Below are 17640 nucleotides of genomic sequence, written 5' to 3' on the forward strand. Positions count from 1 at the left end.
AATCTCCTCCAACCTCCAAAATAAAACCCTCACTGTCCAATATCTCAATTTATATTTTCAAACGTCTAAAATCTTAATCGAAACAAAGAGCAGTGCATTAGCTTTGCCGCCATAGAATGCTTGGTATAATTTTACTTAGGCACATCACAGATTGTGCTATTGCCTAAAAACATATGGGTAGAACCAACATTCCTAGAAACCAAACGCATATATTACGAAGGTGAAAGGGAATAGGGAGTGTTGTTTTTAAACAGATAGAACGCTGTGATTGTCCACTCATAGGTTAGGTGTGATCAAATCACATCGTGCTGTACAGCTAAGTATGTCCTATATTGTATGACAAAGTAGGGTAACACATTATTTATTGAGGACCTGTTGGGTACACAGAGGCACACCACAAGCTGTAAAAGACTTCATTCTTGCCCTCAAGAAACTTCCAAGTTTCTAGACAGCCTGATAGAAGGTAGTCGAAAGCAAATACTTCAAGCACTAGCCATCACAATTACCTTAGGTATTTACGCTACCCTTCTACGAGTCTCTGAATATTTCGAGGCCCCCTTTCCTATTTCCCATGGGCTCTATGGCTCAACATTCTTTACAGCCACAGGCTTTCCTGGACTTTACGTTATTATTGAATCAACATTGCTCACTATCCGCCTCCTTTGCCAATTAAAATTCCACTTTACATCCAACCACCACTTTGGCTTTGAAGCCACTGCCTGATACTGACGCTCTGTCGATGTACAATGACTATTCTTACACGTCTCTGTCTACTGAGGAGGATCCTACTCTTTTAACAGAAACAGTGCCATTGACTTCCAATCAACTAGTTTCCATAATATCCAAAATATTAGATAATATTCCATTATACTCCCAAAACAAATAATGAGTGATGTTCTCTCAAATACACGTATAATCAAATGTGACATTGAGAAGATGGGGCGACCTTTGACTCAGAGATTGTATTCAGGCCTTTGTAGATGCATTTATTTGACATAATTATGCATTTAAAACATAAGTTAAATTGTCATCAGCCTGAAATTATAGGGGCTTTTGTTGGTGAGAAACCTATTTTATATATAATCGTTTACCCATAGAAATGTTTTTGATTAATGTTATCTGTTAAAGACTTCAGTTCACAATATTTCCCCTGTTAATAGTATATATGTTTTTGGAGTTGATCTGGAGAATTTGAGGACCACGTTCTAATCGCTATCTGATGCTATTCTGGGAGGACAATTCATTGCCTTTGGGTTGCTGGGGGTTGGAACTTGAAGGCGGGTCTGAGTCTGGAGACCTTGCCACTGACTTTTGGAAAGTCTGTTGATTCTACCTTTGGAAGTGCCTTTACATGCCTTATGGAAGGCCGGGCATGGTGGCTCACGCCTGTAATCCCAGCACCTCGGGATTATTGATGAATAAATCAATTTGGGAAATGCTTGGTAAATTCAACGGGACCTCTCAGAACAATGAATTTATATGGCCACGATGTTGTTTTCTGGTTTGTTTGTTTTTTTGTTTTTGTTTTTTTTGCAAAGAGCATTCGGAAGACTTTCTAGTACACCAGTTTGGGAACTGTTGGTGGAGGAGTCAGGGTAATTAGGCTTTGGACTATTCCAGGTACAGGTTGTCACTGTATTCAAGGAATTGTTCTTAGTCTTTGTATATATCCGAATTAACTATAGCAAATTAACAAGCAGAAATATAAGAATTGGGCCTTGGAGGGAGGGAGAGGGCGAGAGAGAGGGGTAGATAGAAGTTTCCTATTTTAACTATGGTTCAATTCTAAGCATTCTAAAATTTCATTGGATTCTTTTAACTATGAATTACAAGGGTGTTTAATTTCCAAGTTCATGAAGCCTTTGGTTAATCTCTTCATTATTAACTTCTAACCTTAACTGCTTCATATTTAAATTATCAATTTTATGGTGTGGATTGTACCAATTGTTTTTCAATCTTCTGACGTGCTTAATGGATTAATACATAATTAATGTTTCTCCCACAGTCCACATATGCTTGAGAAGAATACAGAATATCTGATTATTGGGTACAGAGGTCTATATTTGTCCATTACATCACGTCCATTCACGGGTTATTCAAATCTATATATGGGCATTCTGTGTAACTTACTTATGGTAAGCAGGGTATGTTGAAATCTCCAAATACAATGGCAGACTCGTCAATTTCTCCCTGTGGTTTTATCAGTTTTTCCTCTGTATTTTGAGTCTATTTTGATAGGTACATAAAATATGAAAATTGCTACATCCTCCTAATTAACAGTCAGTTGGCATCAAGCTGTTACTAATGCTTTGTGTTCCAACATCCTATCTTGTTTGAAACTGAAGCTCCATCAGTTGTTTTGGTTAATGTATACCGGCATATCTTTCTCTCTCTCTCTCCTTTATAAAAACTTTCAATCTTTTCACATCCTCATAGTTTCAATAAGATGGATTAGAACAGCTGGATATCGTTTTATTAGTTCCATCTGTCTAACTGGTAACTTTAGTCCATTTACAGTTGTTGTGACTCATTTATGTGGACTTCCTTCTGTCACCTTTAGAACTTCCATTTCTCTCACTTTCCAATATAATTTTAATATCTCCTCCTGGGATTCCACTAAGACGTATTTTAGACCTCATTCTGATCTCCCTCTCCCCGCCAACCCCACCAACTTCTGCCCTGTCATTTATCCTCATATCTCTCTGTGTAACATATGGACTTACTTTTTGGAGATAATGGTCTAACCAATTAATCCTTTCTTCTGGTGTCTAATCCATCCACTCGGTTTCTTATTTCAACAATTCCATTTTATATTTCCTTATTTCATTTTATTCTGAGACAGAGTCTCACTCTGTCACCCAGGCTGGACTGTAGTGGCACGAACCTGCAGCCCTGGCCTCCTGGGCTCAAGTGATCCTCCCACCTCAGCCTCCTGATTAGCTGGGAGTATAGGCAGGTAGGTGCCCCATACACAGCTTTTTTCTTCTTCTTCTTTTTTTTTTGGTGGTGGTGGGGTATTTTTTGGAGAAACGAGTTCTCACCATGCTGCCCAGGCTTGTCTCCAACTCCTGGGCTTATGCCATCCTCCCGCCTCAGCCTCTCAAAAAGTGCTGAGATTACAGGTGTGAGACACCATACCCAGCTATATATTTTATTTCTGTAAGTTCTATTTCATCCATTTTCCTTTCACGTCTTCCTCATCATTCCTGGTGGTCTTACTGCTCCTGCTCGCTCAATTTTATGAGTCCATCTTTTTCTTATATAATACATTTATTTCACATGTAACTATTTTCTCACAATTCTAATATTTGAAGTCTGTATTCTGTATCTGATAATTCCAAAACCTACAGTCTTTGGAAAACATTCATTGTTTCTGATAATTCTCAAATATATTGGGTTCACTACTTGAATGCTATGATTTCACTGAATTCATAGTTGCCTGCTTTTAATCTTTGGGAATCCTACAGGCTTAAGTTAGAGATGGTTTCCTAGAAAAAGTATCTGTGCGTGCTTCTGATGAGAGCTGTGGGGACAACTAACAAGAGACCCCTTTACCACCGTCCGTAATCCTGATATTCTCTTGGATTCTCCTGGAGAATGTCAGGATTACACAAGGTTCTCAAATTTGGCTCCCCAACCTTGCTCATTTATATACAGAAGACTAGACTGCTTAGTATAGGTGATGACTCACTTCCTCCTACCCTGGAAAAAACAAAACAGATCTCTCATCTGAATGTGATCACAGACTAGGAAATTCTGAAGGTGAATAACTGGAGGCTGTAGGCAGCAGGGAAAGACAGGTGTCTTTCCTGACCATAGAAATAGGTCACAAGCTGCCCTAAAGGCTGTGTGCTCCACCAGGATTTCACTATTTAGCTCAACCAGCAGTCCCTCTGTAAGAGTGAACGGAAGCTTCTTAGAGCACCACGCTGCCTTTAAACCACAAATTCTTGCTGAAAGTCATGGTCATGGTAAAAAACCTATGGCTTTGCAAGGCTTTCTTGGTAATGTCCTAGAATTAAGGTTAAGCCTGCGTTTCATGGTAACTGAACAGGAAACCAGCCTGACCAACATCCTTCTCCCCAATGGCTTGCTCTCAGCTCCTCTTGCTTGGGCCTTGGGCAGCCAGACGGTCTGGTTTTAATCCTTGCTCTGCCACCTGTGACCTTGGACAAGTTACCTACCTTCAGTTACCTCATCCACAAGATGCAGATATTAGTAATACCCTCTTTTTAAGTTATTAAGAGGATTGAAAGAGTTAATAAAAAGTAAAAAAAAGACTTGGTAAGCATAGGCACAGAGGCGGGAAAAAAGCAATAATAAAGAAATGATACTTCTATATTTTCTATAGATCATCTTTGTAACAAGAAGAAAACAAACCAAATGAAAATGAAACAAATTCTCTCAAAAAGAATTAAGTCAAGACAGGCAGAAGGCTCACAAAGTAATATAAAATATATCTTATGGTTTATGGAAAATTCTTAATAAAATACCTTCTTTGCTCCAAGCTGCACTCTGGCTTTGCCTTTGAGTCACGTGGCATTTCTTTGTACGATGACCGGTTCTGTCGAGTAGGCACTGCTTCAGCCCTACAGGAAGGAAAAAACATCTCTAGAAAACAGCAGCATTCCTGATTCCCACTTGAGGAGGCCTAACAAAACGGCATATGCCTCAACAGCAGCACATCAGTGTTAAAAAGTCTGGAGTCAAGGGGAAAAAGTAAAATTGGACCATTTCCAGAATCTCACCAAAAACAACAAACGGATGTTGCAAGTGGCCTACATGAGCAAATTAGAACCTTAAATAAAGGTCACTCTTAATGCCTATCCCAGCATAGATGCAGCACCAAGTACAGTGTCATTTTACTGGTTTACCTTTTTCATTCTTGAAAGTAGGAGCTATGAAAAAAAAACACTAAAATTTCTTGAAGAGAACCTTCTACTTACAACCTAACTTACGTAATCGAAACACTCTATTGAGGGTGAAAATTGAGTATTATAAGAAAATAATCACCTGTTTTGTGAGAAGTTCAGTACGTAATGCTCCTCCACACAATACATACCTTAGAAAGAAAAAAGGAAACATACAAAACTATCTCGAGAATTATTCCTGCTTAAACAATTTCTACATGCCATTACTAAGAAAGTATGCACACAGTAAACATGAGAAGAGAACATGCAAGCATGAACATACTTGTTAGGGATACAGGACTATGGGTAACTTAAAAACTCTGTTGGTATTACTCTCATGTAATTGCTCTGAAATTCTAGTCAACTATTTGCAATGGCTCTTAGAACAGAATACTTTGAATTTTTATGATATCAAAAACTAAGAACTTAGCCAAGTATTCCCAAGAATAGGAATAGTAAGCATACTTAGTAAGTATTCCAAAGAATAGGGGCAGAAGAACGCATTTCTTTAAAGCACTACCTCAGAATTCAATTTAGTAATTCCGATGCTGCCTGTAACATCAGAAAACAACTTCCTTAAAAACATAGCAAGTTGGATTTACCAAGTTGCTGACCAGGTCGCATTCCCTCCTGCCCTCAATCCCATCTTTGTGTTATACTTTATCTCCAGTACCATTTTGCTTAGTATTCATGGTGCTCAAGTTGTCACTGTGGACATCAGAGCCTATAAATATATATTGTTCTGGCTCCTTCCTGTACATCTTTCCAAGTCATACCTGCTATTCTCCAAAGTCTGTGAATCCCGACACTAATAACTTGGAAATTCAGTTTAAGGTCCTCTTCAGAAGGTCAGTTAGCTCAAGGCATCACATTTTTCTCAGGACTCTTAAGAAATACTCCAACCACAGAAAAAGGCCCTTCTTTCTGGTATCAGGAGCCATTGGCCACAAACACAAATCCAATAGAGTTTCAGCCATTTACCTCCCACATCGTCCCTTCCCTGAAGTTCTAGCTAAAGCAGGAAAAAATAATGAAAACACCACCTGCAGTCACGAATCCTCCAGTTTCCTGGCCAAGATTTCGTATTTCCTTCAAGATACCTCCCAAAGAGGACATGACGAGGGAGGGGCACACAGGGTGCTACAGGTACTGATAAGGTTTTATTTCTTTTATATATATGTATTTTTTGAGACGGAGTTTCTCTCGTCACCAAGGCTGGAGTGCAATGGCACAATCTCGGCCCACTGCAACCCCTGCCTCCTGGGTTCAAGTGATTCTCCCAGCTCAGCCTCCCACGAAGCGGGGGTTACATTACAGGCGCCCGCCACCATGCCTGGCTAATATTTTTGTATTTTTAGTAGAGAAGGGGTTTCACCATGTTGGCCAGCCTGCTCTTCAACTCCTGACCTCAGGTGATCTGCCTGCCTTGGCCTCCCAAAGTGCTAGGATTATAGGCATGAGCCACCACGCCCAGCCAAAGGTTCTATTTCTTAAGTTTGGTGTTGGGCATATGGATGTATGATTTAATGTTTTAAAAAAGGAAGATACCTTCCTAGTTTTTTTGTGTTTTGTTTTTTTTGTTTTAGGCCTGCGTGCTTTATTCGTTACCCCGTATGAATCCATAAAGAAGTAGCCATTAGCAAATTCAGGCAATACATACCGGATTCATACTTCAGGAAGACAACCCAGTTGACAACGACAACAGTTTCTATATAACAAAAGTGAGAGAAAATACTGACATTAGGGTCATATCAAGAAAGTTCAATCATAAGATATATCCACAAGCAAAAATATACACACAAAAAGCTAAGTACGAAGCTTTTAGAAAACTACTACCATCCTTAGAGTAAGTACAAGAAAGTATTCTTTTATGTCTGTTTTTTTCATCAAAATACCGCATATAGCCATAGATTTTAAACCATTACATCTTATCTAGATTCCATTAACATTTCTTCTAGATCACTAACATTTCTTCTAGATTCCATCGTTATTCCTTTGTAACCTTTATTTTCAGTATCTTAAAAATACTTTATTAAATATAACACATACATTCAGAAAGTTACATAAAATATACCTGAAGGTATACCTTAACAAGTTATTGTAAATTATTTGCCCATGTAACCACCAACCTGGTCCTGAAATATATTCCAGCCAGTATCCAAGAAGCCCACAGATGTCCCTTTCAGGTCACACATCCCTACCTCCCACCTGGATGGACTCCTTCCCCTAACCTCTATGTGATCACCTCTTTGTTCTTAATAGTTTTACTGCCCAAGTATGAATCCAGAAATAAGTGTTTCTCTGTTTTCTTTTCACTTTTGTCCCCCTAAGAAGCCTTTTTAGAAGTTTTCTTCCTAATTCTATCCCCACTCCCCATGGAATTTTAACACCACAGATATACTGTATGTCGGTTTATGTTATACGGCCCTTTGGAGGGCAGCAGACCATTATAATAGGTAAGATTTTCTTTCACTCTAAGGACCAATTTTCACTCCACTGCAGGCGATATTGCCTCCACTAAGAATGTATGCCCTAACCAACATTAGTTTTCCCTATTGTTGAACTCTATATAGAGGAAATTGTACAAAATAGGTTTTGGGGCTCTGGTCTCTTTCGCTTAACATAGTGTTCAAGGTTCGTCCATCTTTCCCACATAGCTGTAAGCCATTTTATGAATACCACAATTCTTCATTTTCTTGGAATGAACACCTGGGTTACTTTCTGTTTGGGGTTATGATAAATGATGCTACTCTGAACATTCCGGTGTCTCCTGGTGCCTATGTACTCATTTCTTGTGGAGTATATATCCACAAGATTCCTGAACCATAGTGTATGAGTATCTTCCACTTTACCAAATTGTTTTCCAAAACACTTGTACAAATATACACTCCCATTAGAAAAACAGAGTCCCGTAACAATTTTATTACCTTAAAAGATAAGTTAAGCAAAGTATCTCCTATGCCTTCTTTTTCTTTTAAGATCTGAAGATCACTGTGCAAAGGACTAGCAGGGTCAACCCGAAGAATCACAAAACAAAAAACAGTTCAAACAAAAAGATATTTTTTTTTCAACTAACTCAAAAATGAACCAATCTGAAAGCTAAAATAGAGCACCTAGGCTAAGTTCAAGAAAGAGAAGATCTTAAGCTGCTCTATATCCTCAGGAAAAACAGAGGTCACTATAGCTTCCAGCTCCTTTAGAATGAATGTCCAAAAGAGATCATAATAGCCTAAATCTAATCTAATAAGGGGGTTCAGAGTTTGCAGTCATTCTAAAGGAAAACAGTCACATGTATATAATTTTCTCAAGAATTCAAAAGAAGTTTAATATGCTTTCCTAAACTTGTATTATTAGTCAAGCAGTTCAAGGAGAACAATTTGCCATGGACGGAACTATGAAAAGTTAAATCACTAAAAAATCGGTATTTTTCCACAACTGTCCTATATATAGATTTCTAATATGACTCCCATCCCCCACTCCCTTTTCGTTTGTTTGTTTGTTTGTTTGTTTTAAGAGACAAGGTGTCTCGCTCTCTCACCCAGGGTGGAATATAATGGTGCAATCACAGCTCATGTGCAGCCTTAACGTCTCCAAGCTCAAAAGATCTTCCTGCCTCAGCCTCCCACCATCCATAGTAGCTTGTACTACAGGTGTACTACACCGACGTATTTTAAAAGTAATAACATAACTACATCTACAATAAGAGTTAATTATATTGCTTTCAAAACTGGGGGAAAAGTCATAAAAATCAACTTGGCAATCATTCTCTGTATAATGAAATATATTACTCTTGTTTACTTTCCAACCAATATTATTCAAGCTTGAGCTTTTTCCTAGAAGATAAAAATCAAGCAAGAGTTCACTCTATCAAGAAAATGACAAAAAAATTTCGATGGACCTATAAAAACATTTCCAACACTCAACATTTCAAGAAGTAAAAAAAAAAAAAAAAAGTCCAATTAAATGAAGCATTATGAAGTTTCAAGAGAATATAAAACTAGACACAAGTCTGGTTCGTTTCCTATTTCTTATCATCTGAAAAACTCTAGCCAACATGTTCAGACCACCATGGACTCCATGATAGCACAGAATTTAGTATGAGTCTATTCCAAACCCCAGCAATTTTTGAAAATGCTAGAAGACACTCAAGGTGACACATTACTGACTAAGAGAGACTTCCATTCATAAGACTACAAGCAAGAATATTACACAGATGGTCTAGTTCACACATTGACACACTGAGAAACACGTGTACCTACATGCAACTGGTTTCAGTTTTTCAGTGTGGGGACTTCTCTAAAGATGAAAACACATCGATATCTTATCCTAAGACTAAGTAGAAATGGAACTACTTTTTAGTCATGTGAAACTAAAGGTTTTAAAGACTGCACTATACTTTGAAAAAGAAAAAAAATCAAGTTTACGAAGATCTCACTTCCTAGATATGTAACCATGACCTCATTTCCTATCTATAAAATATGAGAAGTTTCTCCTATCTCTAAACTATGAAGAGCACCTATTTCACACAGCGGCTATGAAGACTAAATGAGCGCATCTATAAAGTATAAAGTACTTAACATAGTATCGGTCATGCAAAAGTGTTCAATAATTTATACTTGTTTTGAAGATAACTCAAACTGGAATCGATCACAAGACACGGAAAGTACAGTAACATTATTTCAAATGCTACAAACTCAGTTTTTTAAATAAGATATGAGAAATGGACTAAATTTCTTTCCTCTGGGAAAAATTACTAATTAAATTAATATATAACTAAGACTGAAGGAGGGAGAGTAATCTATCTGGTTTCAACACTTGGCATCTACTTGCCTAACAATTCATTCCCTGTTTTGGAGAACCTGTGCCCAAGACAAAGTAACTGGTCCTCGGCTTTCATGGAGTTGGTAAATAGCTCTAATACAAGGCAGGAAGTAGTAAGTGTTCAGACAATCATCTGACGTTTCCCTACTCTGTCTGAGCATTTCATGTATACACACACATCATTCTCATTGATTTTTCACAGCAGTCATCCAAAAGGTATGTACTATCTATCCATACTTTAGAGTTGAGCAAAGTGAAACCAAAAAAGGTGTGTTTGTCACCACACTCAGTGTTCCTTTCACATCCTGCCACTTCACATAAAAGAGATGTTAAGTCAAAAGAGAAGAATTAGTTTTGATTTGGTCAGAGCAGGATGGACCAAAGTCACCTTCACGAAGGAGAAATAATTTGAGTTGTGTTTTGTAGGAGAGAATGAATGTGAATATACAGATGCCACAGAAGGAAAGTAAGCAGAGAAAACAGCATAAACAGGCTGGAAAGGGGCATATACAGGGATCAGCAGGTGGTTCCAGGATGTGAACAGCAGATGAACAGGGTAAAAAGTGGCTGTTCATAGATGAGAAAGATAACCTTGGGCAAGAGAACATATGACCGTGGCTAGGGACAGTGGCTCATGCCTGTAATCCCAGCACTTTGGCAGGCTGAGGTAGGAGGATCGCGTGAACTCAGGTGTTCAAGACCAGCATGATCAACATAGTGAGACCCCATCTCTACTAAAAATCTAAAAAATTAGCCTGGTGTGGTGGCTCATGCCCATAGTCCAAGACACTTGGGAGGGTGAGGCAGGAGGATCACTGGAGCCCAGGAGATCAAGGCTTCAGTGAACTATGATTGTGCCACCGCACTCTAGCCCAGGCGACAGAGCAAGACCCTGTCTCAAAACCAATAAACATGTGACTGAATCTACCACTAAGGCAGGAATGGAGGAGAGCAGCTGAGATTGGCATGTTCATGAATTGCCTGGGATTAACTATAATTACTTAAACAAAAATCCAGGCTCTAGCTATTTATACACACTTACGCAGTTAAATGCTCTTGTCTTTCAGTCTTCCTAATTTCTCTAATATTGCCAAATTTTCTTTTTCAATTCCTTCATCCTCCAACTTTTTCCCACTAATGGGCTCTGCTTTCATCTCGTAGTGATCTAAGTCTTCTATATCCTGCAAAAAGAAGAAAAATGTTAGCTTATTCAACCTATTTTTCTTCAGCAGTTTCTTATGCCAAAAGTTAAATTATTCTTGACTCAATGGGGGACAAGAAACAGAATATATCTATCCTACGGGGAGAGAGGAAAAGCCCCCACATTCCATTCAAGAGGCTCCCACCTTCTATATCCTACATTTTATTTAAAAGCTACACTCTGGGTAAAGCAGATTTCAAAGCTTTACAAAGTCATAACTATTAAGAAATAAGCCATCATTTATTTATTTACTTCTTTAATTTTTATTTCCTTTTTTAAAACAGAGTCTCACTCTGTCACCCAGGTGGGCGTATACAGGGGTGATCTCTGCTCACTACAAACTCTGCCTCCCAGGTTCAAGTGATTCTCATGCCTCAGTCTCCTGAGTAGCTGGGATTTCAGACACCCATCACCACGCCCAGCTAATTTGTGTATATTTTTAGTAGAGACAGGGTTGCACCATGTTAGTACCAGCCTATCTGGGGCTTTATAAAGTTAAGAAAAGAGCCTGTATGCATGCTGAAGGCTGTGTGACCACAGGGCTTTTAAAGGATGCTTCTGTGTTCCCACAGTTAGGTGGGAGCTCTTGGAAGGATCTCTTTTATCCCAGTGCTCTTGCTAAGAATGGAAAGCCCCTCTGCATAACTGCAGCAGCTGGTGCCATCCTCTGTTCACTTGCATCAGAGCCTGGGAGGTTGTGGTCTGCAAAGCTCACCTCTCATAATGGGACGCCAATCAATAGTATCCGAAGTTGATATACCCAGAAAGAGAGTTCAAAAATTATTTAGAGAGGTGGAAAATAATCACCAGTAGAATTAAAATCAGAAACGACAAAGTTGGCCAGCGGAGTGGGGAAGTCCAGATTGGGGAATGTGATGTTTCATTATAAGGTCTTTCAGCATTTGCTTACTTTGGTCTGAGTGAAAGAATTGTCTCATTTTTTTGAGGGCCATGTACAGCAAAGGACTCACCATCTGTCAGACACACTGGTCAGTTCTGGCAAGGCAGAGTTGGAGGTTCCTGTCCTCAGGTGGGTGGGCAGGGACGGCAGCTTGCCGTAAGGTATCCAACAGCACCAGCGGCAGGAAATGAAAAGTGCTCAGTGATTGGTGGGATAGTGGTGTCTAGCACAATGATTCCTGCCAAAATCTTAATGGTGGTTGGGCATAGTGGCTCAAGCTTGTAATCCCAGCACTTTGGGAGGCCGAGGTGGGTGGGTCACTTGAGGTCAGGAGTTCAAGACTAGCCTGGCCAACATGGTGACACTCTGTCTCTACTAAAAAAATACAAAAATTAGCCGGGCGTGGTGGCACGCACCTGTAATCCCAGCTACTCGGGAGGCTGAGGCAGGAGAATTGCTTGAACCTGGGAGGCAGAGGTTGCAGTGAGCAAAGATTGTGCCACTGCACTCCAGGCTGGCCAACAGAGTAAAACTCCATCTCAAAAAAAATAAACAAATAAAGCCACAAAAACAAACAAACAAAAAAACCCAATGGTGTGCAATAAATGAAAATGCTGCCCCAGTCAGACGGGACTAGCATTTTTCAGCAACTTTCAAGGTCTTGTGTCACAAGAATGAAGATCCGAGTATTTCCCACCTGTGGAGGGGGCTGGTGAAGGAGTTTTCAGTCCCGGGCACCCTGGGCTGTGCTGAAAGCCTCTGCGTCACACTGCGTGAGTTAGTTGGGAAAGAGAGCTCCCACTGTTCTCTTTTAACCCTTGTCCTTTTGTACCACAGCAATTGCTTTCCTGGAGATCAGAACCGTGGCTGGGTTTAACATCATCTTTGGAAATCCTAAAAGGCAATGAAGCAATTTTTCTCTTTTCATTTATATATTTTTTTGATACAGCTGTGTCAGTTTGAAATTTTACTTTCGTATCAGTTCTAATAGTGTGTCTGCTTGACATAGTTTCTATTAAATGGGCTTGATATGAAGTTACTTAAAAATTCAAGTATTTAGAGTTTCAGGGCCCATCGTCTTGATTTTTGGGGCAATACCTCAATTTCATACTGTGTTATTCTTTTCCAGAGAGATGGGTCACTGAATAACTTACATTTTATGATTGTTTTATGAGAAACTATTTCTGGTTACAAATGGTAAACATCTAGGTTTTGCAGTAAGAAATAATGGATTATGTTAGAAAAAAAGAACCATAAGAAGATGTGTTTTTAATTTTGACTTCCTGTAAGTACCTTCTGGAGCAGAAGGTTTTCTCTTTGTGGATTCTGCATCTTGGATTTGGGGACTCTGTTGCACTGAGCTGTGCTCTGTGGGGAGGAGCCTGTGGCAGAACAGTTTGGGTTCTGCTGGCCGCCTTTCCCTCTATTCACGGAGTCTGGGTCCCAGAGAAAGATGACAGCAGTTAGGTCTTGTTGGGAAAAAAACGCGGCTACCAACCCTGGACCATTTTGCTTCCCCTGAACAAATAAGATAGTCATTTGCCTACTTTTGGGGACGGTGCCTGTGCTTTGCACAGGACGAGGTGGCAGCTGGCTTGCCTGCTGGCCTGCTTCCTGGAGATAGGATGCTCAGACCCACCGCTGCTCTTCAGGGGTCGTGGAAGGAATTAATGCACTTCCTTCTGTCCCCCAATCTCTGTCCCTTTACGTGTCTCTGGAGCTGAGCAGGTATTCTTTTTCTTTCTTCATCTCAGTAGAGCTGTTAAATTAAATAGATGTTGCTTAAGCCATTCAGAAAGGTTTCACATTTTAAAAAACAAAAGGTAGCTGCTGCCATGATTCCTTTGCCCACCGCTACACCGTGTCGTTGTAGGACAGTCCCCACTTGGCTGTGCTGAGCCTGTCTGGAAGTGTTTCTGATTCTAATCAGAAGTGGAACAGTTTCAGTGCAGACTATAGGTTCATGTTAGTGATGAACTTGGGTGGAGATGGGGACACAGCTTGTTCTTTCCTCCTGGACTCTCATCCAGGGTCCTGAGCTGCCAGGGGCCTGGCCACTCTCACCCTGAGCCCTGCCCTGGCTGAGCTGATCACCGCTGCATGTCCCAGGCTGCCGGTCTGCCTGTCACCTGCAGTGCACATGTGTGCATGTGTGTGCATACGTACATGCACCACACACATACCATGCCCACCTCATACACACCACACACATACCCCATACACACCACACACCAACCACACACATTACACACACTGCATACATATCACACACCACAAACACTACACCACGCACACAAAACATACATACACGCTCAAGCCTTCCACACTACATTACACTCCACACACACCACACATCACACTCCACACACACCACACGCACATATCACATTCACATCACACCACACCACATACCACACACCATACACAGTACACTCCACACACCACACCCTCCAGGACGTCCCACCACCATACACACACAAACACCACACACCCACACCATACTACACATTTACCACATACACACCACACACACTGTATCTCATGAACACACCACACACCCCCGCCACACACATTTGCATGCAAACTACTCATTGAATGAAACCGAATGATTTAGTTTTCCCCAAATTAATACTGCCTGCCTGCGCACCCCTGGCTGTCCTGGCCGGCACATCCCCCGGTCCTGCCCTCCCTTGGGTCAGCACCGCCTCCTGTGTCTCAGGTGTCTCTGGCTGTGCCCTGTGGCGTGCTCATGTCCTGATCTTGTGGGAGGCTGGCTCCTCTGCTCCAGTGGCTGCCTTCCTAGAGGAGACCAGCTTGTTTGTCACCTCTCCTGATGCCCAGAGCAGCAGCCCACGGGGGAAGTCCTGCTTCCTCCCTTCGCTGTCTGCCCTTCCCCACAGGTTGTTTTGTCTCAGTGCTGATATCTCCCCAGCTAGAAGAGGAGACCCTCAAAGGTGCACAGGTGGATTTGATTATAATGCAGGTGAATATTAAATGCGTTTTGGTGAAACACTCAACCACTACATACATCTTTAATAAAGTAAAATGTCCAGGCCCCCTCTGCTCCCACCTCTCTCTCCCCTCCCACCTCTCTCCCCCCTCCCACCTCTCTCCCCCCTCCCCTCCCCAGAGGATGTGGCTGACAAGCCTTTGAGGGGTTTCCCCTTTCTGTGTGCCTTTGCGTGTATGTATGGGCTGGGCGGTGTGTGTATTCTCTAGACATCTTGACGGACCTGTAACTGGGATCTACACACGTGCGCTTGCTGTAGCTCACTTGCCATTTTCCCTCAAAAATAGGCCTGTAAAATCCCTCACTGTAGTACGTGTTGCCCTGCCTCTTTAAAAATGCCACCAACTCTTCCAGCACGTGAACTCTGCCGTCATTTTTTTAAACATTCTCTTATTTATGGGTACTTAGGTTGTTTCCAGTTTTTTAAGAGATTGCGGCAATGAAAATCTTCAGCTATCATTTTTCACAGTGCTGTGGGAGAACGTGGTTGGAGGTGCTGTGGCGGTGGAGTGGCCCCACACGTGGCCAGGCTTTGTGGGGTTCTGACTCTGTCCTTGCCAATGTTCCTCCACACAGTGGCTGCCTCTGGGGAATGATGGCTGTGTGAGCGCCCGCCATGCCCCACCAGAAGAGTCTACCATGGCCCACCGGAAGCGTCTACCATGGCCCACCAGAAGCGTCAGAGCGCGGGGAGCAGCATGTTGGACCACGGGGCAAGGCCGGGTCCTGTCCCCCACCACCAGGAGCCCGAGAGCGAGGACGTGGAGCTGCCCTTGGAGGACTATGTGCCCGAGGGCCTGGAGCTGGTCACCCTGCGGCCAGAGAGCCCCACGCCCAAGAAGCAGGAGTGCCACAACCACAGCCCCGATGGGGACTCCAGTTCCGACTACGTGAACGACACCTCTGAGGAGGACGACTATGATGAGGGCCTCCCTGAGGAGGAGGAGGGCATCCCCTACTACATCCGCTACTGCCCTGAGGACCAAAGCTACCTGGAGGGCATGGACTGCAATGGGCAGGTGTACCTGGCCCACGGCGCGCATCCTATGGACACTGACGGGTGCCAGGATGCAGTGGACTGGACGGCCTGGGCGGGCCTGCACCCCCATGGTCACGGGGCTAAAGGTAGCCAGGACTACCCTGATGGCCAACTGCCCATCACGGAGGATGTGTCCTCCGTCCTGGAGGCCCACGACCAGGAAGAAGACGGTCACTACTGTCCCAGCAAAGAGGGCTACCAGGACTACTACCCTGTGGAGGCTAACGGGAACACCAGCGCTTCTGCCTACCCCCTGAGGTGCGGGGACGGGGACCTGGAGGACCAGGAGGAGGACATCGACCAGATCGTGGCAGAGATCAAGATAAGCCTGAGTATGACCAGCATCACCAGCACCAGTGAGGCCATCCCCGAGCATGGACCTGAGCCAGGGCCTGCGGACTCTGCAGAGGGCTGCCCACCCATCAAGGCCAGCTGCAGCCCCAGCAGGCAAGAGGCGAGGCCCAAGTCGCTGAACCTCCTTCCCGAGGCCAAGCACCCCGGAGACCCCCAGAGAGGCTTCAAGTCCAAGACCAGACCCCAGAAGAGAGGCTGAAGTGGCCTCACGAGCAGGTAGGACTCTAGCTGTCCCGGGGAAGGGAGCAGAGGGGCCCTAGAGCAAGGGACCTCAGGGTACAGGCCTCGCAGATGCTGAAGCGAGGAGGTGGGCAGTACTGGGTGCCTTACAGTTCTAATGGTGGCTGAGCTCTTCATTGGTCCAGTTGGGAGACATGTTGCGTGGATGCTCCGGCCACTCTTAAGCTCACCGCTCAGACTCAGGACTAAAGCCGGTTGAGGGCTGAGGGGCAACTCGTGTGTCGCAGAAGACACCCCTCCTCCCACCCTAGAAGACAGGTTCAATTTCTTGCCCACTGCCCTGGGTCTGCTCATGGTGGGGCAGTATGTGTGGGAGAGCCCCTCAATCCTCAGGGGTGTACTCAGACCAGCAGGGCAGTGGCAAAGACGTGGGGGTGCTGGTGCTCACCCACTGCTGCGGCCAGTGTTGGGTGGCCTGGTGGCTGGGGTCGGGGCCAGAGTGCATTTCACAATGGACGGGTGTCTGAAAGCTGGGGGGCCTTGGCCTGACGGGCAATCAGCTGTGAATACCTATTTGGAAAAGGATTTTTTGACGGTGTGACAAAACCTCGGGGAAGAAACGCATGCTAATGAGGGCAGTGGATGTCAGCATAACTGTATTTTAATTATAGCAAAGTCAGCGTGCATTCTAATAAACACATTTGAAAAGCCGCCTTCCAAAAAAAAGCCTCACTGTGAGTATATATTATAGAAGATGTGATTATTGGACTCGGGTGAAGGAACTTCTATTTGGCCAATTATGTGGACTGCTTTCATATTTTTTAAAGCTTTAACTACTATTTTTTTCTGAGAAGAATTCATGAATGTGTGTGTGTGTGTGTGTGTGTGTGTGTGTGTGTGTGTCTGTGTACTGAGAGCTTGGGTTTGGAATGGAAATCATATTGACTCCTGGATTTTCAGCACTTGTATCTTAATGTCTTGTCTTCTCTCTAGAACACATTGTGTCAGTTGACTTCACTTTGGGGCTGTTCCTGTCATTCACAGCAATTCTGTGTTTACAGGGGGCTGTGGGATGCATAGGAAGTCCTATGGTGATGGCAGGCATGGGAATTTTACCCCAAGGGACTATGGTAATAGGGGGCTGACCAAGAATAACTCCTAATCCTATGTCACATAATACCATGAGCAGCTCAGGAAAACTACGCACAACTCAGACATGTGCAG

The 17640-nt window shown here is 42.9% G+C and overlaps 1 protein-coding gene and 1 pseudogene across 2 annotated transcripts in view; one reads left to right on the plus strand and one right to left on the minus strand.

The window, feature by feature from the left end:
- Positions 1–17640, minus strand: part of GOLGA8B (golgin A8 family member B) — a 58557-nt gene that overhangs the window by 15270 nt on the left and 25647 nt on the right. For both annotated transcript variants that reach the window (NR_027410.2, NM_001023567.5), the window contains 6 exons: positions 13381–13592; positions 12531–12727; positions 10774–10912; positions 6571–6618; positions 5014–5062; positions 4494–4589 (listed from right to left, as the gene is read on the minus strand). The gene's annotated coding sequence lies outside the window, so the exon portion shown is untranslated. The remainder of the gene's footprint in view (positions 1–4493; positions 4590–5013; positions 5063–6570; positions 6619–10773; positions 10913–12530; positions 12728–13380; positions 13593–17640) is intronic.
- Positions 15412–16508, plus strand: LOC100422492 (amyloid beta precursor protein binding family A member 2 pseudogene; annotated as a pseudogene).

Source organism: Homo sapiens, chromosome 15, assembly GCF_000001405.40.
Source record: "Homo sapiens chromosome 15, GRCh38.p14 Primary Assembly".
In the NCBI taxonomy this organism is placed as follows: Eukaryota; Metazoa; Chordata; class Mammalia; order Primates; family Hominidae; genus Homo; species Homo sapiens.